The sequence below is a fragment of the Homo sapiens genome, chromosome 10, assembly GCF_000001405.40.
Source record: "Homo sapiens chromosome 10, GRCh38.p14 Primary Assembly".
NCBI lineage: Eukaryota > Metazoa > Chordata > Mammalia > Primates > Hominidae > Homo > Homo sapiens.
The window spans coordinates 91,550,642-91,577,751 of record NC_000010.11 but is presented as its reverse complement, the minus strand read 5'-3'; the positions used below and the strand labels follow the sequence as shown (position 1 = coordinate 91,577,751).

General features: G+C 44.3%; 2 long non-coding RNA genes across 5 annotated transcripts in view; one reads left to right on the top strand and one right to left on the bottom strand.

Moving 5' to 3' along the window:
* The window catches only part of HECTD2-AS1 (HECTD2 antisense RNA 1), a 304,499-nt gene that overhangs the window by 33,709 nt on the left and 243,680 nt on the right, over positions 1-27,110 (top strand). The window lies entirely within an intron of this gene.
* Positions 1,285-25,630, bottom strand: LOC105378433 (uncharacterized). Of its 4 annotated transcripts, none has more exons than XR_007062242.1 (4): positions 24,871-25,630; positions 24,374-24,495; positions 21,008-21,237; positions 19,319-20,145 (listed from the first exon to the last, which is right to left on the bottom strand). It is a non-coding gene; the product is annotated as an uncharacterized LOC105378433 (long non-coding RNA). The 4 variants fall into 4 exon arrangements; XR_007062243.1 differs by having other exon boundaries at positions 25,558-25,630; XR_007062244.1 differs by lacking the exons at positions 19,319-20,145; positions 24,871-25,630 and adding an exon at positions 1,285-2,873 and having other exon boundaries at positions 24,374-24,421.

Here is a 27,110-nt window from a genome sequence, read left to right as displayed (position 1 = left end):
GCAACATACCTATGCACTGCTCACTTTGCAGGACTATGAATTTCAGTTTGTGTTCTAGGAAAAATTTATGGTTTCCTCCCTAGTTCCCCCTCTCCTCTGAGTTCCTGAATGAAGACATTGCTTCCTTTACCACCTGCAGATGCTGTAGGGTACCATTTAAAGTCTGCTCACATGGTGGATGTGAGGTCAGCAGCATGACCAACGTGAAATGCTGTCTTTTGGCTCCCCTCTTCCCCAGCCAGAGGGGCTTTCTTCACTGATGAGTAAAGTGATGATAAAAACAGTGCTTCTAATTGCTTTTTTTTTGAGACAGAGTCTCTCTCTGTTGCCCAGGCTGGAGTGCAGTGGCGTGATCTTGGCTCACTGCAACCTCTGCCTCCTGGGTTCAAAAGATTCTCCTGGTGGCTCAAGCCTGTAATCCCAACACTTTGGGAGGCCGAGGTGGGCAGATCACGAGGTCAGGAGATCAAGACCATCCTGGCCAACGTGGTGAAACCCTGTCTTTACTAAAACCACAAAAATTAGCTGGGCGTGGTGGCTCATGCCTGTAATCCCAGCTACTTGGGAGGCCGAGGTAGGAGAATCATTTGAACCAGGGAATCGGAGGTTGCAGTGAGCGGAGATCGTGCCACTGCACTCCAACCTGGAGACAGAATGAGACTCTGTCTCAAAAAAAAGAAAGTATTCTCCTGCCTCAGCCACCCAAGTAGCTGGGACTACAGGCACCTGCCACCACGCCTGGCTAATTTTTGTATTTTTAGTAGAGACTGGGTTTCACCATGTTGGCCAGGCTGGAGTGCTTCTAATTGTTAAGGAATGTTGCTATACCTTCCTTTTTCAAAAACATGTTTTCCTTTTGAAAATTGTATTGCACTGTCATAATTAAAAATATAGATAAACAAAATGAGGAAAATATAACTACCTATAATCAACAGTGTGTCATCAGTATTAACAAACAATATGGATGCTTTCAGCCCCTTTCCTATAAATATTTATATACATTATTCTCAAACTGGAATGTGATCACAATCCATAATACAGTCTTCAGCATATTTTCATTAATTGGTGAGAAATCACCAATCGCTTTCCACATCTTTCAATACTCATCTTCAGCAGCATTTTTAATAGCTCATAGAATTCTATGTTATGGGACATCATCATTTACTAGTTTATTTACCCAGTTTCCTATTGTTGGACATTTGGGTTGTTTAGACTTTTTCCACCATTACTAATAATGCTGTGGTGATTAACAGCCTTTGCACTCATCCATGATTCTTTCCCCCCAGGGCTTATCAGATGATTCTCTGGAAAGGGTGTACATATTTTTAAGGTTAAAAAAACTCATGTCACTAAATGGCCTTCCCAGAAAGACTCTGTCAGTTTGCAGTATATGTGACAGCACCTCATACTTTTTAAGGTGCTGCCTCAGTGGCTTCTCAGCACAGCCCTGTGTGATAAGCAAGGCAGATATGATGACTCATCTTTTGGAAACTGAAAAAAGTCAAGTGCAAAGAGATACCTTCAGGGAACTTAACAAAGTGAGTTGCCATAGAGAGACACTGAATGTGATAAAACAATTAAATGCTGGGAGACAGTTAACAAAACAAAAAGCTATGGTAGCTGCTCTGAAGCTCCTGAGAGAAATTAGGTCTCAGGGACAATTGTCTGTTAAGTGTTTGGCAATCAAATCATGTCATCAGCATGCAGGAGAAAGCATACCTTTCTGTTTTCTGTCTTGAGAGCAAGCACTTGGGGAGGCAGGAGTCCAGCTCATCCAAGATTCCAGAATGGATAACTGATTTAGCCAAGGCCACTCAGAGAGTTAGTGGCCGACTCAGAATGGAAAGCCAGGTCTTCTGACTCCCAGACCAGTGCTCTCTGACAAACAATGTGCCTCTCCAAGATACCTGGGCTCTGGCCATTGACCAAGTCACTCAAACTTCTGTAGTTGTCTAGACTAGAGCAATGATCTGGGGATCTTATTAAAATGTAGATTCTGATCCAGTCTGTCTGGAGTGGGGCCTGAGGTTCTGCCTTTCTAGCAAGTTCCCAGGTGATTCCTATGGTCCAAACCACTCTTAGAGTAGCAAGAAGCTAGAGATGGCTCAGGTTAAAGACAAGGCAAGTGACCTAGATAAAGACATGGCTTATTGGCAAATAATACAGCATTTTAAATGCTGATGATGGAAAGGGTGTTCTTGGTTGTTATGAGCCTTAAAATAAAGGTCTTGTCCCTCTTCTGCCAGAAACACCCTGACATGAGACCAAATCAACAGGCCAAAGGAAAGCCTAGGGCCATGGTGGCAGAGGGCGTTTCAGATACACCCACCAACAGCACAATTGGCCCCTTCATTATGAGGAAGAAGCCGCAGCAAGGCAGCCAGAATAAAAGCCACTTTGTTTAACATTCCAAAGGCGTTCCCAGTGTCCCCCAGAGTCCTCATTAATTACCTGGAGAATTACCAAGGGGTTCTTGGACAGGATGAGAGCCTCCTTCCACTGCAACTCACCACCCCTCATGACACTTGGATGACGAAAAACAGCACTTGATGAGGTGAGAAGAGGAATGGAGCCAGGACACGGAAGCAGAAGGGCATTGACCTGTGAGATTTCCAATGCACAGACATGGCTTGCTCTTTCTCAAGCAGAGGCAAAGGATGTCGGTGCTATTGACAGTCCTGGGCATGAATCTTTCGGACTGCAAATGGTAAAGATTTTCAACACTTGGGGAGTAGGCCAGGGAGGGACGTTTGGTGCCACGGAGGAGTGATGGGACTGGGCCCAGGCAGGGCTCAGCCTTGGGCCAGGGAAGGAGCATTGTGCGTACTCACTTGTTTCTTCGGATTTGGAACCAGGAAATGCTGGCATTAAAGCTAGAACAACAGAATCACAGGAAAAGATCTTAGAGGTTACAGAATCCTGACATTTTAAAACCAAGCTCCCTGGAGCTCTACAGAGTCTGTGTGAAGGTGTTTTAGGGACTGCTCTTTAGAGTGAGGTCTATGAGGATGTGGGGCTGCCCTTCCATTCTGGAATCCCTTTGTATCTGTCTTATACATTGGGACTCAGAATGTGATTTATTTCTGTAAAGGGTCTTGCACTTAAAAATTACTGTTTTGGCCCAGTACAGTGGCTCATGCCTGTAATCCCAGCACATTCGGAGGCTGAAGCAGGAGGATCATTTGGTCCTGGGAGTTTGAGACCAGCCTGGGCAGTATAGTGAGACCACATGTCTACCAAAAATTAAAAAAAAATTAGCCAAGCATGGTGGTGCGTGCCAGTAGTCCCAGCTGCTCAGGAGGCTGAGTGGGAGAATCGCTTGAGCCTGGGAAGCAGAGGTTGCAGTGAGCTAGGATCATGCCTTTGCACGCTAGCCCGGGTGACGGAGTGAAACACTGTCTCAAAAAAAAAAATTGCTGTTCTTTTCTGACCTGTTTATTTTATAGCTCAGAAAAGAAAGATGGCTTTTTAAAGACTTACAGCTCATTCGTGACATAACACTGTGCGTTCTCCCCAACAGGGTGTGGTGATACCAAGGTACTCTAGGTTAAACAAGACCCTAAACACCATGTTAGATTCTTTCCCCTTAGAGCAGACTACTTGTTTTGCTTCATTTTTGCAGTTTCAACCCCTCCAAAACTCAAGCTAATGCCCAGATTTCCAATATTCCAGTGACACCATGGTCTAGAAAGAGGACTGGCCTCAGGTCTGGTAGCGGGATTTGCCTGTGTGGTGTGATATGTGTGGGCCTCAGCCGGCCCCCAGTAAATTCTCATCTAACAGGAATTCCCACTATGGGTTACGCCAGCAGTTTTCAAATGAACTCAGGTGCCAGTGCAGCTGAGGAAAGAATTCTTGAGTGCTTAATTCCATCACACAAATGAGAAGCAACTTACCAAGTCTGAAAGCTAATTGTATGATAAGCACACAGTAGAACATTTTAAATCACACATACTGTGTTAGTTGCTAAGACCAGTTGCACATATTTTGGTTCTCTGTATCCTTTGATAAGGTATGGTCACATAACATGTTTTAGCCAAAGAAACCTAAGCAGAAGCTTTCAAAGTCAGTGTATGATCATCTTCATCTCCTTCCCTATGGTGCAGTGTTCGTGAAAGTCCACGCTGAGGTGGAGTCTCTGTTCACTGGAGTCCCAGGGTTGCTATGAGGTGTACAACCCTTCTGCCAACCCACATCAAACATACAGTGTGGACAAGAAATACATTTTTGTTTGTTTAAGTAATATTTTGGAGTTTTGTTACCACAGCAAAACCCAGCCTATCCTAACTGATACAGACATTTATCAAAAATAAACCAATGAGCTGTTAAATGGGACATTACGGATTTTGTCTTAACTCTTTTCTTTTCTTTTCCCTTTCTTTCTTTCTTTCCTTCCTTCCTTCCTTCCTTCTTTCTTTCTTTCTTTCTTTCTTTCTTTCTTTCTTTCTTTCTTTCTTTCTTTCTCTCTCTCTCTCTCTCTCTCTCTCTCTCTCTCTTTCTTTCTTTCTTTCTTTCTTTCTTTCTTTCTTTCTTTCTTTCTGAGACAGAGTCTTGCTCTGTCACATAGGCTGGAGTGCAGTGGCATGATCTCAGGTCACTACAACCTCTGCCTCCTGGGTTAAAGCAATTCTCCTGCCTCAGCCTCCCAAGTAGCTGGGACTACAGGCCTGCACCACCACAGTCAGCTAATTTTTGTATTTTTAGTAGAGACAGGGTTTCACCATGTTGGCTGGTCTTGAACTCCTGACCTCAACTGATCCGCCCACCTTGCTTCCCAAAGTGCTATATTATTCATCTCTAAGTTTGGAAGTCTTGTACCAAAGAGCTATGTGATTGGAGAATTTAAAACTGTATAGGAGGCCGGGCGCAGTGGCTCACGCCTGTAATCTCAGCACTTTGGGAGGCCGAGGCGGGTGGATCATGAGGTCAGGAGATCGAGACCATCCTGGCTAACAAGGTGAAACCCCGTCTCTACTAAAAATACAAAAAATTAGCCGGGCGCGGTGGCGGGCGCCTGTGGTCCCAGCTACTCGGGAGGCTGAGGCAGGAGAATGGCGTGAACCCGGGAAGCGGAGCTTGCAGTGAGCCGAGATTGCGCCACTGCAGTCCGCAGTCCGGCCTGGGCGACAGAGCGAGACTCCGTCTCAAAGAAAAAAAAAAAACTGTATAGGAAAAAATACATATATTAAATGGACAATGATTGTAGATGAACTGATGAAAGCTTATAATCTTACATGCATTAAAATAGACCACAAAGATGGTGCAACATATCATGACAAAATCAATATTTGATGCATGATAAATTAGTATCAGTGGAGTCTGAACCATTAATTTCTATTTATCATCTTTATCCAAAAGGACCTTTTGGGGATTATTCTCCTTCACATGCTAAGAGGCTTCTTTTTTCTGAGTCTGGTCATCTATTTCAGACTCCATGTCTTTCTCATTCAATGACAAGAGGTGGCAGGCATCCATCTCGATTAGTCCTCGCTGGTACCAGAGAACTAAAATAATTTGGATTTTTGAGATTGAAATTATTTTGTGCAACCCATATTTAATTTTTCTCTCATACTGTCTTGTAGCTATACAACCCTAGCTCTGTTCATGCTAATGTCACACTTGCTTTTTATCTGGCTTTCAGCTAACTCATTGCCAATTCTAGTTCCATTTTCACACATTTGCATGGCTCTAAATAATTGAATCAGCCCTAAGTCTTAATTCTAAATTTCCGAGAGAGATAGAAAGAGAATCAGATTGGCCCAGCTTGGGTCAGATGTTTACAACTATAATTGATTATAGTCGGGGGAGGATCACATGGCACATAAAGAGCAGGATGAAGGACATTAGGACTCTCAGGCACAAAGGAACTTGTATACTTAGCAGGAAATGTTTGTGGTTTCCAAAAAAAAATTTACAGAAGCAAAAGACATATTCTTGAATTCCATGTGTGGATTGGAAGATGCTATTGTTTCATTTGTTACTTGCTTATTCTGTTGACTTTTAGCAGTCACTAGTGGAAAACAGCCATGCATGCCAAAAATATAAGAAAAATTCATTGGAGAACTTAAAGTAAAATGTTATCCACCAACTAATTTTTGCATAAAAAAAGATTTTTAAAAAGTATTTTTGTGGCCTAACACTTTGGGTTGGCCTGTAGAATATCATGAAGTACTGAGTTAGATAAAAAAGGAAGAGCATTATCTTCATAAGCCCCAAGTGATCATGAGTGTAGGGATAAAGCTGAGGTTCTGATCCTTTGTTATTCATTAGAATCATCAGGGGAACTGAAAACAAGATAATATCTTCACATACTCACCAGAATGGCTTAACAATAAAATTGATGATAGCAAATGTTGGTGAAGATGTGGAATAACTGGAACTCTCACACAATTCTAGTATAGGGGGTATAATTGGTACAATCACTTTAGGTAACTGTTTCACAATATCTGTTAAAAAAGAATGTAGGCATATGCAGTCACCTGAAATTCCATTCCCAAGTGTTTATTCAAAAGAAATGCATATAAGATGTTCATCAAAATATATCTACTGGAATATATACCATTTGTAATAGCCCCAAGCTGGAAACTACCCAAATATCCATCAACAATAGAGTAGATAAACAAATTGTAGTCACACAATGGAATATTATACTGCAATAAGAGTGAAAAAACTATGACCACACCAAACAGTGTGGATGAATCTCACAGACATAATTTTTGGCAAAAGAAATCAGATGTAAAATAGGACATTTTGTATATTCTATTTATATAAGGTACAAAAATAGACAAAAGTAATCTATATATTGGAAATCAGGGTAATGATTATCTTTCGTGTGAGTTTTAGGTTCTGGAGATCTTTTGTTTCTTGATCTGGGTTCATGAGTATGGAAATTCATTAATGTGTACATTTATAATTCACTTTTCTGTATATATGTTATGTTTTATCTTAGTCTGGGCTGCTCTAACAAACTACTTTAGACAGGGTAGTTTTTAAACAAGAGAAATTTATTTCTCACAGTTCTGGGGGCTGAGAAGTCTAAGATCAGGGTGCCAGCAGATTCAGTATTGGTGAGGGACTGTTCCTCATGAATGCCTTTTCTGTGTCTTCACAGGGAGAAAGGGCAAACAGCTCACTCAGGCCTCTTTTATAGGGTTACTGTCTTAGTCCATGTACTGTTGCCTAAGGCTGGGTAATTTGTAAAGAAGTTTATTTGGCTCACAGTTCTACAGGCTGTACAAGAAGCATGGCACCAGCATCTGCATCTCGTAAGGCCTTAAGTTGCTTCCATTCATGGGGGAAGGCGAAGGGGAGCCAGTGTGTGCAGAGATCACATGGTGAGAGAGGAAGCAAGAGAGAGGGGGAGGGGCCAGGATTTTTTTAACCATCAGCTCTTGTGGGACCTAATAGAGTGAGAACTCACTTGTTACCATAAGGATGGCACTAAGCCATTCATGAGGGATCCAACCCCACGACCTAAACACCTCCCATTAGGCCCCACCTCCAACACTGGTGATCAAGTTTCAACATTTGGTTTTGGGGGACAAACATCCAAACTATAGCAGTCATTAATCCCATTCATGAGCCCTCATGATTTAATCACCTTCTAAAGGCCCCACCTCTTAATACTATCACATTAGTGATTATGTTTCAACATATTAATTTTATGAGGACACATTCAGACCATAGCATACTTTGATAAAAATCTTTTTAAAAATTAGTGATGTCTGGACGCCACTCTAGACAAATTGAATCCTCTGTGGGGATGTGAAGCCCACATACAATACTTTACAAAGCCCCCCAGGCAATCTTCATATACAGCAAGAGGTGAGAACTGCTGGTCTAGTGGAAGGAGCCTAGGAACAGGGAAACCTGGATTTAGATTCTGGCTCTGTTGCCAAATTGTGGAGTGGCCACAGGCAAATCACCTCCTGCTCTGGGCCTTGGTTACCAGGGGACTTAGCAGATGACTGATTCCTACCAGTCCTATAAGACATTACCATGACTCTGTTAGTCAAACAGATTAGTTGACATTAATAGGTTCTGAGGGGATATGATGGTTCAATTTTGTGTGTCAGTTTCACTGGGCTAAGGGATGCCTAGATAGTGAGTAAGATATTATTTCTAGGTGTGTCAAATGCTATTCTCTTCCAGAAAAGAATAGCATTTGAACTGGTAAATTGAGCAAAGTAAATGGCTCTCACCAATGTGGGTGTGGGGCAGGAGAATAGGGTCTGGAGGCAGGGAACCTAAGGCTGTTTCACACTGACTTCCTAGAACTAAATTGAAAGGAAAACCCTAACTTTCCACGCCTAAATAACAAAAGGACCAGAAGTTACTTCCTTTGACTTTTTCTTGTGGCAGATGGCAGATGGGAGATTGGCTGTCTGCAACAAATCATACTAAGTGGGGGTTAGGTCTTTGTTTGCAACTTTGTAACTTCACTCCAGCCTCTGAATGGTTGCTGTCCACAACTAATCAGACTGATGGCGGGCTACCACTTCATTACATGAGGTGAACATGAAGTGGCCGATGGGAAACTTCTAGGGGATATTTGAACCCACGAAGATTCTGTATCTGGGCCCTTGAGCTGCTGCTCGGGTCTGCTCCCACACTGTGGAGTGTACTTTCGTTTTCAATAAATCCCTGCTTTCATTCTTGTATTGCTTCATTTATTCTTTGCTTTGCTGAGCTTTTTGTCCAATTCTTTGTTCAAAACACCAAGGACCTAAACAACTTGCAGTCACAACCCTCTATTGGTGACAAGTGGGCATCATCCAATCCACTGAGGGCTTGAATAGAACAAAAAGGTGGAAGAAGGGCAAATTTGCTTTCCCTTCTTCCACTGAGATGTACATTTCTCCTGCCCTTGGACATTAGAGCTCCTGGGTCTCTGCTTTCAGACTGATACTAGGATTTACACTCTCCCTGACTCCATCCCCTCAATTCTCAGGTCTTTGGATTCAAACAGAATTACAGTATTGACTTTCCTAGTTCTTCAGCTTGCCAATGGCAGATGGTGGGACTTCACGGCCTCCATAATCGTGAGCCAATACCTAAAACAAATCTCTAAAATATTAAATACATCTATATATATTTTACTGGTTCCACTTATCTAAGAACCTTGAATGGGGGGATATGATGAAAAAACAGATTTGATGTGAAGGTGTGTGTCAGGATTATGCTCTTGCTGTTTACTGGCCCAGCAACACAATGGCATGTCTAGGCTGGGTGGTGTCAGAATGAGAGATGTACAGAGGATATGGGAACCTATCTTAGTTTCATTCACAATTTTTCCTGGAGGTGGAGCCAAGTGGAAATTAAATTCACTTTTTTTCAGTTCGACTTCATTATCCCTTTGGAACAGGCTATGAATAACCCAGGAAATTAAGTTGGAAAAAAATCAGAGCTTGATGGAATACTATAGATTATTTGGTTCAGGAGTTCACAACCATTTTAATGAGATCTCCCCCACTTTTCTCAAATTAAATTTATGCAGAATCAAATTTATACCCAAATAACAAAGACGAATGGATTCCCAGGAAGTTAGAATTTTCATTTTTTAGTGAAAAATATTTCTTGAGGAATCTCTAGTATCATAGAACAACTTATGTGGTACAACTTTCCAATTTCATAATTGGGCAATTGAAGTTCAAAGAGGAGAAATGACTTGCCTCAGTCACGTATTAACTAGTGATAGAGACAGAAACAAACCTTAATGTTCTGACTCAGCGATTCTTTTACTCATTCAGCAAGCATCTGCTGAGCCTCTACAAGTTCCTAGAACTGTGCCAGGTTTGGGGGATCTGATGGTGAACAAGCTACAGTGAGTCCTGCATCTGTACCTTGTGACTGGGGTCTAAACTGATGTCCGTCACCTTCATCTCTGATTATCCCATGGGCAGAGTCTGGCTCTCCATAGTAACCCTTGGAATGGCATCTATGGCACTTGGTACAGTGGGACTCTACAGAGACCCTCTTCTCTGAAGATGGGATGGGGATAATTCAAGAAAGGCTTGGCTGCAGGAGGTGTTGATGTGTGGGAATGGCACCATTCCAGGTTGTCCATCACTGAAGGGTGTTACACAGCCTGGGCACCAATACCAAGAAATGGTTGAGCTGTACAGAGAGCTCCGAGTGACCACAGCAGGGCAGCACTCTCAGATCCAGGGTCATAGTATTTGGTTCTCCTGTGTTCAGTGGATACTTCCAAAGTATGACACTGTGAGTCGTGTGGTGTAGCGTAGCAGGTAATGGCGCTGTCTTTGGAGTTACTTGGTTTGCAGCCTGGATCTCCATTTTTTGGCTTTTTAGTCTTAGGACATGTATGTCGCCTCTCTGAATCTCATCTGTAAAATGATGACAATGGTTTTTGCCTCGTGGGGTTACTGTGAGGCCTAAATAAAATAAGCCATTCCTGGGACACAGAAAGTTAGCTATTCATTCAATAAATCTTTACTGTGGGCCTACTATGTGCCAGGTCCTGAGGATCTCATGATGAACAAAGTCTCTGCCTTCATAGGGCTTACATTTTAGTAAAGAGGAAACACAACAAACAAACAAATCATAACAATAATAGCTAACATGTATTAAACATTTTCTATGTGCCAGTCACTGCTCTAAGTATTTTCATGAATTATTCTATTTTTGTCCTCACAAAAATCCCTTGAGCTACATAAAATTATTACCTGCTTACAAATATGAAGCGGAAGCTCAGGGAGTTAGTAATTTGTCCCAGATCACACAGCTAGAAAGTGTTGAAGCCAGGCCTTGGATCCCGACAGACAATTAGACATCAAAGCTTGCTCTTAAGTGTTAGGAAGAAAATAAAGCCAGGAAAGAGGAGAGGCTGAGGGGTGTACCCATAGCGGGTAAGGGAGGCTAGGGAAGGACTCTGAGATGGTGACATGAAGCTGGGAAGGTCATAGTCGGCAGAGGGAGGGGCTGATGCAGAGAATCCGAGGCAGGAATGAGCTAGACTTGTGTGGAGCTGCAGGAAGGTCAGTCTAGCTGGGTGCAGTGGTTCACGCCTGTAATCTCAGCTACTCAAGAGGCTGAGGCAGGAGGATCACTTGAGCCCAGGAGTTTGAGACCAGCTTGGGCAACACAGCAAGACCCTGTCTCAAAACAAACAAACAAACAAACAAACAAACAAACAAACACACACACAAAAAGAAGGCCAGTCTAGTCAGACTAGTGACCAAGGGGAGAAGGGTGTGAGAGGTTGAAGAGTTGTTAATATTGATTAACTGCTAGTAGTTTACAGCCACTATAATCATAGGTCTTGCTTCTCCCTTTAGCCTGTGAGGCAGGAACCTATTTGTGTGTGCCCACAGGGCCCAGCTCTATGCTGTGGTCATAGCAGGTATTTAATATCTTTTTTTTTGTTGTTGGGAAAAACATGGGCCATGCTGAAAGCAAGAGAAGGCTTTGCATCCTGACCCTGTCACCGGCTAGCATGCGTGGGCAGCTCACTTTCTCTCTCTGAATCTGCTTCCTTATTTGTCCAATGAAAAAGGTCACATTTCCCTTTATAGAATTTTGTCAGAATTAAGAGAGATAATGTGTATATAAAATAGCCACCGCATTGTAGACAATCAATAATGATTACTTCTTAACCCTTCTTCTCCTAATGCTGTGATCTCTTATCCTTAGAACCACCCACCAATCACTCCCAAGACATTTCTCTTTTAATTCCATGAATGGCTTGAAAAACTGGACCATCCTGACTCCCCAGATGATGTCTATGGACAAAAGTGTCCTCTCCCTTCATTGTCTGGGTTCCGTGGAAGCTTGGCGTCAACACGCCCTTAGCCAGTCCTTGCTCCAGGTATCCTTTGCAGGGACCACCTTGACAGCAAGCTAAGATTTCAGAACTGTGCATTGCTTCAAAGGTCTCACTCTCAGCCCACAGATGCCAGCCAACTCAGCCCCAGGAAGGAACTGGGGGGACCTCTCACTAAGAGGAGAGCCAGGCTGCAGCCCTCCCCTGCTGGCTGGGAGCCCACCAAGGTGGGCAGTATAATTTAGCTTCCCCTCCCAACTGGCTCCTTATAAGAGACCTTGTGTTCCCTCTGCTAGACACAGGATTCTGATGTTAGCTCTGGGTCAGTTCTTTGATGATAACATTACCCAGGACACCCTCAAATGGGAGGCTACCTCTTTCACCATTGGTCAGTCCCACTTCCAGTCACTAAAGGAAAGTAGGCCTTTTCCTTCTTTAGTCTGTGACCTAAGAGCTAAGACATGGCTCCTTGTTCCTCCATCCCCCTTAAACTAGTTTTGCAGTGACTCTTCTAAAGCATATGACCCAGAGCTAAATTTTACAACCCTGTGAGGAATTTCAGGGTATATGTGATGTGCAGAAAGGCAATTTGCAGGCATGTGCCAAAGTCTAGCTTGGCCCAGCTGTATGCATTCTACTCATTTCCCAGTCTGGCCAGCGAGTTTGCTCAGCTCCAGCTTATGGTGAAACTGAGTCTTCTCTGGCTGGAGCTCAAGTTCAGGTCTTCCGCAGTCACTAAGTGCTATTGGTTCCTTCTCCTGGATTCTGTACTCACTCACTTGGAAATCTGTAATATTTCCTCAACCAAGGCCACCTTAAGCCAGGGGAATATTTTACTGATGTTGAGTATCTCCCCTTCTCACTCAACTTAAAATAGTTATCTTTTCTACAGGCAGGTACCCACTTACTCCCAGACATACTTTTTTCTTTTACTTCTTCATTCAAAGAGGAATTTATGTTTATAAAACAATTGTATATTAAGATTATTGTTAGTCTCAGCAAAAACAGGAAAAATCCACAGTGTTAATTGAACCTGACTACTTACCACGTCATATAGCAGTTGCTGTATAAATACAGCAGTTGCTGTATTTATGGAATTGAATTAATTTTTTGACGAATATATCAGGTTACATACTTTTCAGAAATCCAACCCAATCCTTAGTGTGCATGTCTCAGCTAAGATGCTTTCAGCTTTATCACTTGCAAGTACTTCTGTCTTTTTTGAGATAAGGTCTTTTCTGTTCCCCAGCCTGGAGCTCAGTGGCATAATTATAGCTCACTGCAGCCTCCAACACCTGGGCTCAAGCAATCCTGCTGCCTGAACCTCTTGAGTAGCTGAGACTACAGGCATGTGCCACCGTGCCTGGCTATTTTTTTTTTTTTTTTAGTGGAGACAGTGTCTCACTGTGTTGCCCAGGCTTGTCTCGAACTCTTGGGCTCATGTTGTCCTCCTGCCTCGGCCTTCCAAGGTGCTGGGATTATAGGGGTGAGCCACAATGCCCGGCCAACTTGCTAGTACTTCTGTAGGAAGGCAGGAGACCCGTTTTCATAGTCCTTTCAAATGGAAGAGGTGGTAACTGGCTAGAGAGCAGAAAGAGGTAACAGTAATGAAGGCAGAGCTTGCGCTGCAATTTGAATAAAGTTGCAACCTTATTTATCATCCACCAGATTAACTGTAAGAGGGCAAGTGGGGTACTGCAGTGCCCTGTGCCGCCTGGCCTTCTAGTGTTCTAGCTGCAGGCCCAGCGCACTGGCAACTGTCACACTGACTAACATAGACCAATATAGAATCCTCTAGCTTGGCAGGCTCTGGAGACAGAGGCTGTGGCCTTTTAAGCTTTGCATACCCATTGCCTGGACCTGGTACATAATTGGTGCTCAATAAGTATTTGTTCAATAAATGAACAAATTGAGATATGGACTATATATATAAATGCTATAGGAATTTTAGAAGAGATATTATTGTGGACTTTCTCTAGACCTTGAACCTGAGATTGCTGTGCAATAAATTACTGTGTAGGAAACAACCTACAGAAACCACAACTTAGAGTAGAAACTGCCAGCATTCCTTTGAGAAGATGGACACACTGGGTTACCTTGGTTTATGAAGAGTTGCTCAAATGGTGTCTCTTAGTTAAGCAAATATAAGAAGACACCTATTGGTCTGGGAAAAAGATGTAATGGGGACTTACTTTCTTTTGTGGCTTAACAGCAACTGCTTCTCCCTTTGGTTTGCAGTGTGCAGAAGTTGGGTTGACTTGCATAAGAGGCTCAGGATTTTTCTGGGTAGGAAAGTACAGGAGCACAGGCTCCTTTTATGGAGTTTGGAAGTGAGAGGAATGTCACGAGTGTATCCTGGGGTAGCCAAGACCTTGGAATGATTGGCAGAAAATTACTCTAATGTCTTCAGAGTGGGAGTTACTGTGGGGGAAAAGGGTGTCTGGCTTTGTGACTTGGGCTTAACCCAAACCCTAATGATGATTGTGGGAGCCACCAGCATCAAGCTCTGGGCACATGGCATAGCATACAGGTGTGATTAGAGGAGCTGAAACCTGCAAACTGGGTCAGGACCCGGGCCAAGGGCATAACCACAGGGCAGACAAATGTCCTAAGCTAGCAAAGGCAGGGCTTCAACTGCATGAGGCAGCAGGAAGCAATGGCAGTAGTGACCAGATTAGATTTTTAAGTTGTCATTTCATTTGACAAAAAGAAGTCCCTGGAATTCTTATACAATTTTGAGAGAACAGAAAGAGGGAAACATAGTTCTAATAGGCACATATAGGACCTCCAAAAGTGAACTGAAAAACAAAGTGTGACTATGTTTGTATCCCAAGCTAGTGAAGTAGGTCATACCAATTACAGGTTGAGAAACAAAGGAACTTTGTCACACAGGAGGCACCAAATGAGCAGAGGGGTGGAGATGGAAATAAGTCTGCTGTGTGGTTTGTGAGGGACCCACAGTGAGAAGGGTCAAGTTGGCAGTGGTCAGATGGTCAGATATGAGCTTGTGTGGGTAAACGAATGATATGGTTTGACTGTGTCCCTACCCAAATCTCATCTTGAACTGTAGTTTCCAAAATCCCCATGTGTCATAGGAGAGACCCAGTGGGAGGTAATTGAATTATGGGGGCAGTTACCTCCATGCTGTTCTTGTGATAGTGAGCAAGTTTTCATGAGATCTGATGGCTTTATAAGGGGTTTCCCCCCTTTTGCTCTGCACTTCTCCTTGCTGCTGCCATGTGAAGAAGGATGTTTTTGTTTCCTTTTCTGCCATGTTTGTAAGTTTCCTGAGTCTGCCTCCTCCACAGCCCGGCAGAGAAAATTAAACCTCTTTTCTTTCAAAATTACCCAGTCTTGGGTATGTCTTTATAGAAGTGTGAGAACAGACTAATACAGTAAATTGGTAGCAGGTAGTGGGGTGCTGCTGTAAAGATACCTGAAAATGTGAAAGTGACTTTGGAACTGTGTAACAGGCAGAGGCTAGAACAGTTGGGAGGGCTCAGAAGAAGACAGGAACATGTGGGAAAGTTTGGAACTTCCTAGAGACTTGAAGGGGCTCAGAAGACAAGAAGATGTGGTAAAGTTTGGAACTTCTTAGAGATTTGTTGAATGGCTTTGACCAAAATGCTAATAGTGATATGGACACTAAACTCCAGGCTGAGGTGGTCTCAGATGGAGATGAGAAACTTGTTGGGAACTGGAGTAAAGGTCACTTTTGCTATGCAAAGAGACTGGTGGAATTTTGCCCCTGTTCTAAAGACCTTTGGAACTTTGAACTTGAGAAAGATGACTTAGGGTATCTGGCAGAAGAAATTTCTAAGCAGCAAAGCATTCAAGAGGTTACAGAGCATAAAAGTGGAAAATTTGCAGCCCAATGGTGCAGTAGAAAAGAAAAAAACCCATTTTCTGGGGAGAAATTCAAGCTGGCTACAGAAATTTGCATAAGTAATGAGGAGCCAAATGTTAATCACCAAGACAATGGAGAAAATGTCTCTAGAGCATGTCAAAGATCCTCACGGCAGCCCCTCCCATCACAGCCCTGGAGGAAAAAATGGTTTCTTGGGCCAGGCCCAGGGCCTTGCTGCTTTGTGCAGTCTTGGGACTTGGTGCCCTGTCCCAGTGTGGCTAAAAGGGGCCAACATACAGCTGAGGCCATTGCTCCAGAGGGTGCAAACCCCAAGCCTTGGCAGCTTCCACAGGGTGTTGGGCCTGTGTGTGCACAGAAGTCAAGGACTGAGGTTTGGGAACCTCTGCTTAGATTTTAGAGGGTGTATGGAAACACCTGGATGTCCGGGCAGAGGTGTGCTCCAGGGGTGGAGCCCTAATGGAGAACCTCTGCTAGGGCAGTGCGGAAGGGAAATGTGGGATCAGAGCCCCCATACAGAGTCCCCACTGGGGCACTGCCCATTGGAGCTGTAATAAGAGGACCATCGTCCTCCAGACCCCAGAATGGTAGATCCACTAACAGCTTGCATCATGCGCCTGGAAAAGCTGCAGACACTCAACGCCAGCCATGAAAGCAGCTGGGAGGGGGGGCTGTACTCTGCAAAGCCACAGGGGTGGAGCTGCCCAAGGCCATGGGAGGCCACCTCTTGCATCTCACGTGACCTGGAGGTGAGACATGGAGTCAAAGGAGATCGTTTTGGAGCTTTAAGATTTGACTGCCCCATTGGATTTTGGACTTGCATGGGGCTTGTAGCCCCTTCATTTTGGCCAATTTCTCCCATTTGGAATGGGTGTATTTACCCAATGCCTGTAACACTATTGTTATCTAGGAAGTAACTAACTTGCTTTTGATTTTGCAGACTCATAGGCAGAAGGGACTTGCCTTGTTTCAGAGGAGACTTTGGACTTAGACTTTTGAGTTAATGCTGGAATGACTTAAGAATTTGGGGGACTGTTGGGAAGGCATGATTGTGTTTTGAAATGTGAGGACATGAGATGTGGGAGCGGTCAGGGGAGGAATGATGTGGTTTGGCTATGTTCCCACTCAAATCTCATCTTGAACTGTAGTTCCCATAATCCCCATATGTCGTGGGAGGGACCTGGTGGGAGGTAGTGGAATCATGGGGGCGGTTACCTCCATGCTGTTCTCATGACAGTGAGTGAGTTCTCATGAGATCTGATGGTTTTATAAGGGGTTTTCCCCCACTTCACTCTGCACTTCTCCTTGTTGCCGTCTTGTAGAGAAGGATGTGTTTGCTTCCTTTTCCACCATGATTGTAAGTTTCCTGAGGTCCACCCCCGCCCAGCCCTGCAGAACTGTGAGTCAATTAAACCCCTTTCCTTTATAAATTTCCCAGTCTCAGTATGTCCTTATACCAGTGTGAGAATGGACTAATACAATGAAGTTAGATTATGGATGGGTTATGGTGGTGGCAGACCAGAAATGTGGGCATTATTCCCAGAGGCTATGGCTTTTAGGGCATGTAAGCCCAAGCAGTAATTCTGATGGTGCCTTGAAGAATGAGTGGCAGGGGTAGGGGTCTGGAGGCAGGGAGGCCAGCTGGAGGTTTAGGTCCAGGGGATGGCTGCCTGATGCCTCGAGGGCATGGATTGAATTTTCGTCATCCCCAGTCCCCAGGTCTGATGCATAGTAAGTGCTTAAGAAAGACTTGTTGAATTGAATTACAAGAATGCTGTCACCAAGTGGGAAGCAATTTCTAGGTGGTAAATGGAGCTCCTGGTTTCAGAAACTGGGATACCCGGATTCCAAGTGCTGGCATTTCTTGTCTGTCTATGTGACGTGCAACTTATTTCACCTTGTTGGAATTTTAGTTTCTTTAGGTGTGAAGATCATTCAGCCATTCATTCACCAAGCACTTGTTGATCATAGCCAAGAACCACATATTGTGCTAAACTTGGGAGAATCAAAGAGGAACAATATGATATTCCTGTCTTTGAAGACTTTGTGATTTAGTTGGAGAGATACATGTACAAGAAAATCATTTATTACTGCATGGAGTGTGTTTTCATTGAGGGATGCACAAAGTGCAGTGGGATTGCAGAATGATCTCTAACGTGTATTTAGCACTTACCGTGTGTCAGGAACTGTTCAAAGTTCATGCAGGCATTTAATCCTCATAATAACCAATGAGGTAGTTATTTCTATGATCTCTATTTTCTGGAAAGGAAACTGAGGCACAGAGCTTAAGTAACTTTCCCATGTTTCCACATTTGATAGATGGGAAAGGGGCAACTAGCAGAGAGACTAGTACATGTAAAAGCGCAAGAGTCTGAAATAACATTTTGTTTGCTAGAACAGTACATGAGACTAGAAAAGAGTAGGGAACCAAAGCATAACAGGCTTTGAATGCTATATGAGAAAATTTGGCCTCTACCTAAGAAAGCTTTCCGGCATTTTCCAAAGTGTTTGGAGGAACTTAAGATCTGAGGAACGTTAATATAGTGTGTATTAGTCAGAAACAGACTACTGGCTCTGTTCTTCAGAGAACAGAAACAGAATCAATAAGTTATGTTTTTATGTACTTACTTGTTTACTCATCTTAAAGAATTACAGGTTGAAAAAGTCCAGATCTGCAGTCTGCAAGTTGCAGACCCAGGAGAGCCAATGTCCAGTTGCAGTCTGAGTCCAAAGGGCTGAGAACCATGAGAGCTGATGGTGTAAGATCCAGTCCAAAAGCCAGCAGGCTTGAAACCCAAGACGAGCTGATGTTTTGGTATAAGACTGAAGGTTAGAAAAGACTAATATCTCAGCTCCAGCAGTCAAGTGGGAGGAATTCCTTTTACTCAATCTTTTTGTTCTATCCAGGCCTTCAATTGATTGGATGAGGCCCACCCACATTAGGGAGGGCAGTCTGCTTCACTCAGCCCACCACTTCAAACATTACCACTTCAAATATCAACCTCATCCTGAAATACTCTCACAGACATACCCAGAATAACATTTGACCAAATGTCTGGGCACCCTGTGGCCCAGTCAGGTTGGCACATAAAATTAACCACCACAGGGTGTTAGGTGTAAAAAGGTGTCTACAGTTACAGTGAACAATGCTGGCTGCTTACCCATTCTCTTTGCCTTCCTAACAGAGCTCTAGTTTTGTTCAGGAATCTATTCTTCCTCCATGCAGCTTCATGCTTTTTTTTTTTTTTTTTTTTGTCAGTGATTGGTTCAGGAGTGGATATGTGACCAGATTCTGGCCAATGAGACTTGATTGTATACCAGGGAGCTTGCGGGAAACTTCTCTCCTAAGAGAGGCCACGTGAAGAAATGATCCTTCTTTTTCCTCTGTCAGGCCTGAGTGTGATGCCTGTAACTGTCATCCCACTAGTGGCCTGAAGATGAAGCTGACACTGAGGGTGCTAGAGTTGGAAAATATGGACACAAATCTCCCAAGCTTGTCCTACCTCTCTGAACATCTGCTTTGTAAAGCGTCACAAATAGTCCTTATTGTTTATTCCAGTTTTGAGTCAGGGTTTCTGTCACTTGTAGCTATATCCTACAGGATATGATCATAAAATAAGATTGGAGGCTTGGCTTAAGCAAAAATAAGGAGGCTTTTAAAATTCCAGGGCTTCTCACTCAGTGCAACAGCATTTATTATGCAGGTGTACTTTGCAAATATCCAAAGTTGGATATAACACACAGCATTTCCTAAACAGGTGTGACCCTGGAAACCTTTGTGGTGAACAATCCACGGTACTGATGTCCCACAGAAATACTCCCATAGGCAATGGGAAGACTTGGGAATCCTCAAAGTAGGCGGATGATAACATTACATGCTCAATAAAATCCCACCTTCCCCTCTCTAGCTGTATGAAGAATCGTGTCTCTGATGATCATAAAATGTAAGGGAACTCAGAAGTACCTCCCCAGAAAAAGATTGCAAGCCCTAACTTACTAGACTAACTGATTTCTTAGTCCCCTTCCAGTTCTCAAATTCTGCAGGGATTGTATAATTTGGTACATTCATCTCCGAGCATTGAACAAAGTTTCCCTTCCTGTTTTCAGTCACTTGCCAACATCTGTGAATGAAATTGGTGAGGCATATATGTATATATTCAACCAATTTTTTCTGGATTGAATTATTTAAAATAACCCACTAAATGAATCCCTGCTCAGTAGGTCTTTGACTTAAAACCACTCAGGCTCTGCCCACATTTTTTATTTCTCTGGCTCTTTTTTTTTTTTTTTTTTTTTTTTAAGTCAAACAGCCCTAGGGAAATGGCTTGAGGCTACAAAGGGCAGTTTTTAGAACGTTTTCTCTGCAGTTAGTGACAGGGTAGACAAATAGCATAAAATAGAAGGCTGTACTCCATTCCAGATGGGAAAAGTTGCTTCTGTTGCTTTTCTTGATTTATGTTAAATTCATCATGGTTTCAAACTGAAACCGCTTTGGCCCCTAAAAGCAACAGGGGGAAAAAAAAAAAAAAGGAAGAGAAAAACAATGCGACAGATCTCTATATGAAGTAATTGGACCCTTTAGAGATATAAACTGCAAATTAATTCTTTCTCCATACAATGGGAGTACTGGTAATTATTTCCCAGGATGGCACCACGGTTGTGTGAACTAAGAGACTTAGCAAACAGTACGGCTCTTGTGTGATGAGGCGGACACACGGCTGCTGTTTTCTGTCCTCATGTTTTACTGTGGTAAAGTCACCTTTGAGAACAACCTTGGCTCCAGAATGAGGGTGACTTAGTGTGAACTGGAAGCCATGAAAGAAACACTTTCTCTGTCACAGTCTCTCCTTTGTTAGAAAAAAACCCCATTCCTACCCCAAATCCCAAACCTCAAAGATCTTCCTTAGGTCTCCACTTTAATTCTTAAGAGTCCCATGCTGTTCAGCTTGGGTCTCACATTGACTCAGGGTTGCGCAACTCAGAAGTCCCTCAATTCTTTAACAGCTGACTGAGGCCAAACCAGTATGGGAGCTCCTTTGAAAAACCCAGCTAGGGCCAGGAAGGCCAGACAAGTGGACTTTCATTGCAGGTCAAGTATCGCATGTTTCTTCTGACCAGGTAATTATCGGTTATAGGACAAAGAGGAAGCCCGATTTATCAACAAAGTGAAATTAAAAATTAACATGCTCCTGTTTGCTCAACTGTAATCTTTGAATCAGTCAATATCTACAGGCTGTGCCAGTAACCTGATTTCAGGGCAGCTACAGAGTCTGCTCAGAGACCAGCCCAGTTAAACAGTTAAGGCTGAGATCAGTTGGGCAAGACTGGAAATGAAATATGTTTAGGCGATGAATACTCACAAAGTGCTTAGAGGTTTCTTGCTGGGGGCTGGTATTCGTGGTGCGGGTGTGCTGGGTTTGAGAGGACCCAGAGTCCCAGTCTTTCTGGATGATGTTTACTCCAGCTGTCCATCCCAATAAAGGCAGGGGCAGTAGGCAACACATTTTTCTTTTCTCTTCTCTTTTCTTCCTTTTTCTCTCTCCCTGGCCTACCATGGCAGGCCAATATGGCAGGTGGAGGTATGCGGGAGCTGGTCAGAGTTAAGAGTGATGGACTCGTAAGAGACTGAGGTGTAACCAGTTAGAACCTGGGGATTTGTTGCCACTCCCTACCTTCATTTTCGGGGGCTGAAGTAGATACTTAGTTATAATAAGTTTATTGAAAATATATCTATGAGCATAGTTTCTAGCACATCAAAGGTATTTAATAAATATTTGGGAAATGAAATAAAGATTGAATAATTGAACAAGGCTCACACAAGACTGGAAATCAGGGAACAGGAATATTAATTTACATTTAACCAATTATAAACAGTTTTTGATACCTACATCTATGTATCACTATCTCCTCTTTCTTGCCCTTGTTTACTTGTTTTCAACTTTACTTTCACTCTGTGGATGTATATAGAGTGCTCCTCAACAGGGGTGGGACACAGGGGAGTAGGAGGGAGTGGCAGGATATAATTTGGTCTGCTGGGGGACATTTATCAATGTCTAAAAGTATTTTTGGCTGTCACAACTGGGGGAGTGCTACTGGCATTTGGTGGGCAGAGGCCAGATATACTGCCAATCATCCTATAACAGAGAATTATCTGGTTCAAAATGTCAACAGTACAAGAGTGGGACAGGAGCATGTCACCAAACTGTTAATGATGATTACTTATGGGGAGGCCTGTAGAATAGCATTTTGGAAAACTTTCCACTTATTAAGTTTAATCATTTATATCTATTTTGGGGATTTTTAAAAACAACATGAGGGTATCACATTTGTAATCAGAATCAGTGAGAGAGGCATTGAAATATTTACTGGACATTTAGTATATCTCAGGTATTACCTAGATCCTGGGGATACAGCAGTAAGTAAATAGTAGATGCTGCACTAAGGGACCCAGTTCAACAGGAAAGATCAGACAAGTACTGACTTAGCAAGACAGGAAGTGCCCAGGGCCTGCTGAAATATTACTTTTTTTTTTTTTTAATTAAGAAGAAAAAGTGCTTGGTGTTCCCAGGTGTAGTTACTGAGCAGCATGGTTCCAAAGGACAGCAAAAGCACTTTACTGCCTTAGAAGGAGGGGAGGCTTTGCCAGGCCTATGAAACCCTCATCTGGATCTGGCCTCCAGGGCAGCCTCCTGCCTGCCTCTCTGGTGAGGCTCAGCTTCTGCTCTGCCTCACCAGCTCCCCTCCAGTTCCCCTCACTCTGAGGGTGCAGGGAGCAGGGTCCCACGGGAGCATTGGTGTGAGAGGGAGCTCCCAGCACCGAGGGAGAAGCAGGACTCACTGACCAAACCATGTGTTTGTGCTGGAAGGGCCTCACTGCAAACATGCTCATCTTATGGAAGAAGAAAGGAGGTTCAGAGAGGGAAAGGCTTGCCTGAGGTCACACGGTGAGTTAATGTCAGGGCGGGGCTGGCACACAGGTTGCCAATGCCTCAGCTTGGGGGTCTGCTGTTCTAGGATACCCCTTGCTTCTTATTGGGCTGACCGATTTCCTGCCTTCCCTTCCTTACCACAACAGCCTCCAAGCATGTCTGCCTGGCCCCGAGCTTGGTCCGTGTTCCCAGGTGATAGTTTTTACCCCTGAGGGTCTGAATGGGGGGTGGGGATACGACAAGAGCAGCCCACTCAGAAGCACAGCCTGGGCCAAGTGCACCATCTTAACCCTCCTATGGGAGTCAAGCCAGTGTGGTCTGGAAGCGGGGGTGTGAGGGGTAACCACACAGCAGTAACCTCATGTTTTGCAGGTTAGGGCTAGGGGCAGGGGCAGTGCCAGTATCAATAGCCTTGGGGATGATGTGGTGTGGGATGAGGTGGGGTGTGTGCACATGTATACAATGTGTCTGTGTTAGCATAAGTAGATGTGCTTATGTGCTTCAGCTATTAGGAAGAGTCAGACCCATATGTACTGAGTTGAAGAATCCCCCAGATACAGTGTTAAAGATGCAAATTGCTGAAAAACAAGTTTAGTAATAATCCTATTTTTAGATGTAACATTTTTTGATGAATGTTTATATATGTTTGCATCAGTACAGAGAAAGATACAGAAGGATATGCTGCAAACTGCTAACACTGATTATGTTAAGACAGGGTCCCCAACCCCTGGACCATGGACCAGTACTGGTCCTGGCCTGTTAGGAACTGGACCACACAGCAGGAGGTGAGCAGTGGGCCAGTGAGCATTACTGCCTGAGCTCCGCCTCCTGTCAGATCAGCAGCACATTAGATTCTCATAGGAGTGTGAACCCTATTGTGAACTGCACATGCGAGGGATCTGGGTTGCACACTCCTTATAAGAATCTAATGCTTGATGATCTGAGGGGGAACAGTTTCATCCTGAAACTATCCTCCACCAACCCCGCCATCCGTGGAAAAATTGTCTTCCACACAGCTGGTCTCTGATGCCAAAAAGGTTGGGACTGCTGTGTTAAGGGATTGAGATGATTACTTTTAAAAAAATCATCTCTGTAATATCTGGCCTATTACAGAGAGTCTGCCACCTTTACAATTAATAAAACATTTGAATAAAAAAGAAGAAAGTGTGTAATTATGTGTACACATGACTATGTTGATGTGTGTACATATGTCCATACGTGACTTTGTGTTTATGTGTGTTGCATATGTGTACATATGGGGGAGAGAGTCTCAAAGGAGAGCAGAACTTTTGGTACAAATTCCAGACACTGGTCACATCCTCCAACCTTTGTGCTTTGGAAAGAAACCTCAAGGGTGTACACCTACTTGAAAGTTTTGCCATAAACATCACCTGCCTTGCAGGTGTGGGCTGTTCTGGGGCTCCTGGCTTAACCAAATGGCCTTGGATAAATTACAAGTGGGAGAGGCTGCTTCCTTGCAGCCAAGACCACTGGTGGTTTAGAGCCTTCTCCAGGAAAATCCACAGCCCCTTGCACAGTGTTTGTGGAGTGCCTCCAGTGTGCAGAGCGCTGTGTGTGGTAGGAAATGGTTCTTCTGGGAGGCTAGCTGCTCAAAGGATGGGGCTTAGAAATCTCAGCCTGGGCCAGGTGCAGTGGCTCATGCCTGTAATCCCAGCACTTTGGGAGGCCGAGGCGGGTAGATCATGAAGTCAGGAGTTTGAGATCAGCCTGGCCAATATAGTGAAACCCCGTTTCTACTAAAAATACAAAAACTTAGCCGGGCGTGGTGGCACGCACCTGTAGTCCTAGCTACTTGGGAGGCTGAGGCAGGAGAATCGCTTGAACCCTGGAGGCAGAGGTTGCAGTGAGCCGAGATCATGCCATCGCACTCCAGCCCAGGTGATAGTTTGAGACTCCATCTGAAAAACAAACAAAGAAATCTCAGCCTGTGCTGGTCAGTTGCATTCTACAGGCAGAACCAGTTTCCTCCCCCCACCCCATTATTCCTGAGATCTAGATTTTGCAGGCACCAGGATTTATTAATTTACTTGACCATGGCTCAGCCAACTGGTTAAGGCTGGTTTCTATGCTGATCTGGGCTTTCAAATTCCCATCTACAGCTGCAGGAGTCCATTGAGACCAACTAGGGGGTTAGAATGACTTTTTCCTAATGTCAGGTGCGTTCCTGCGTGTGTGGATGTGTGTGCACACACCCATGCACACACATGTAAGAAGACAGCTCTGCCCCCTTGAGGAGACACAGCAGGGCTGACAGAGGGTTGTGTGCCCTGTACCTGGCCGCAGGCCTGAGCATACCCGCTCGCTTTGCGATAGAAGTGGATTATGCTAGCAGGCTCATGTTCTTCCTGCCCTAAATTTCGCTTCATCCCCTCTCTCCACAAGCTGGTTAGCAGCAGCTTGGGAGTTTGAAGAGCAAGAGGAGCTCCCTATGTGATCTGAACCCTTCTTTTTGGACAGGTTCCTGGGGATGCAGCTGGAGCCGGGCTGGTGGAAGCAGCAGGCCGAAGTGTTTTAGAATCTTCCTGAACCCAGCAAAGGGATGGGTCTGTCCTCCAAGCATTGGGGCAGGGGTTGGGGGGTGGGCAGTGGGAAGAAACTGTGGCTGCTTTTCCTGCAGAAGCCAGAAAGTTCGAATAGGAGAAGGAGGGGTAGAAGGAGAGAGGGAAAGAGAAAGAGAAAGGGGTGGGTCAGGGGGTGTGGAAGGAGAAGGAAGAATGGGGAGGAGAAACAGACACTCCTTCATGGAGATTTCCAAAAGGCCTGGGAGGGACCTTGCCAAGCCACTTCCTAACCATCTTGGGGTGTCAGCGTGAGGCTTAATGGGAACAAGGAGCATCTGTATGTGTCCTCAGCCTGCACAAGGGGAAATTCTGGTCTCCTAGGAAGAAAGCCCTGGAGCCAAGCCTCTTGGCCTCTGTGTCCACTCTCTGCATTTACTCTTCGAGCTCCGCTGTTCCTACCTTCATTTATGTTTCCGCAGTCTGTCCATCTTCGTTCTCGCTGACTCTCCTCTCCCGCCTCCAGTTGAAACTCAGGCTTCTGTTTCAGGGTTGGGGGTTCCTAGAGATTCTCCTTGTCTCTAGCTCCCCCTGCCCACCTCAGCGGGACCAAGGCCACACTACTGCCCAAGAGCCTGCATCAACTGCCAGTAGATGGCAGTCCTCATCAAATTCAAACTCCTCGCTCTGCCCTTCATCTGTTGTCAAGATCTTCTCTCCCTGGTCTTGTCCTATTCTCTGACCAGGCTTCCCTCTCCTTCCCCATGGAAGCCCCCAGCCAGTCTCCCTGGTGAGCCCTGAACATTCAGAGTTCATCTCTGCCTCTGTGCCTTGCTTTGCTGCCCAGGTCAGTTCCCACTCCCCAGCATTAGTCTAAAGCCAACTCATCTTCAAGTCCTGTCCCCAGGAAATGTCCCTGGTCACTTCAGCCTGACTACATCATTCCTTAATTCCCACTGCATGTACAGTTCAAAGCACCCACAGTTTTGCTTCTCACTGTTTTCGGTCTAGCTATATGTAGTCTCTATAAGGGCATGAACCATGCCTTTCACTTTCTTCGATCTCTGTCTCAGCCCCAGAACCCAGAAATATGATTATTGATTGATTAAAAATGGGCAAATTATAGCCAAAGAGATTCAGGGTAGGGAAAGTGCTTGAACAGGCCAGATATTCCTCCAAGGTCTTCTTGAGCAAAATGGCATTCTCTGGGGCTATTTTCCATGTTTGGCCATGCTGTGTTTTGCTAATACTATGGCAAACACTTGGGTGTTCAGTTGCATGGAGACGTTTGCATTTTCCCTTTCCACAGGCAGGCAGATGATTATTCAGGATGGGAAAACATCAGCATGGAAACAGATTTGTGGCTCAGCTCTCCTGCTCATTTTCTAATGTAAGAACAAATCAGTTGAGGCTGGGCACCATGGCTCATACCTGTAATCCCAGCACTTTGGGAGGCAAAGGCGGGTGGATCACTAAGCTCAGGAGTTTGAGACCAGCCTGGGCAACATGGTGAAACCCCGTCTCTACTAAAAGTACAAAAATTAACTGGGTGTGATGGTGTGTGCCTGTAGTCCCAGCTACTTGAGAGGCTGTGGTGGGAGGATGGGAGAATCACTTGAACCTGGTAGGCGGAGGTTGGAGTGCACCGAGATTGCACCACTGCGCTCCAGCCTGGGTGACAACAGAGTGAGACTTTGTCTCAAAATGAAACAAACAAAAAAAAGAACCAATCACTAAATTGATCAGGACTCCCTCCTCTCAAGACAATCCACTGAGCCTCCAGTATTTACAAACACAGGAGCATTCACCCTTCTTCAGAGGGCAAGCTTACTGGCCGGAGGCATCATGCTGGCCATCCTGCCACTGGCATTTGGAATTGTCCTCCCCATACTTTCTCTCCATGGTATTACAGTCTCTTTTTCCCACAGAATAAGAGGTCAAGGAGGGTAGGTTTGAATGAGATTATCAGTAAAATGTTTTACCATTTGGATTTCTGTTCAAATTGTAATAAGCAT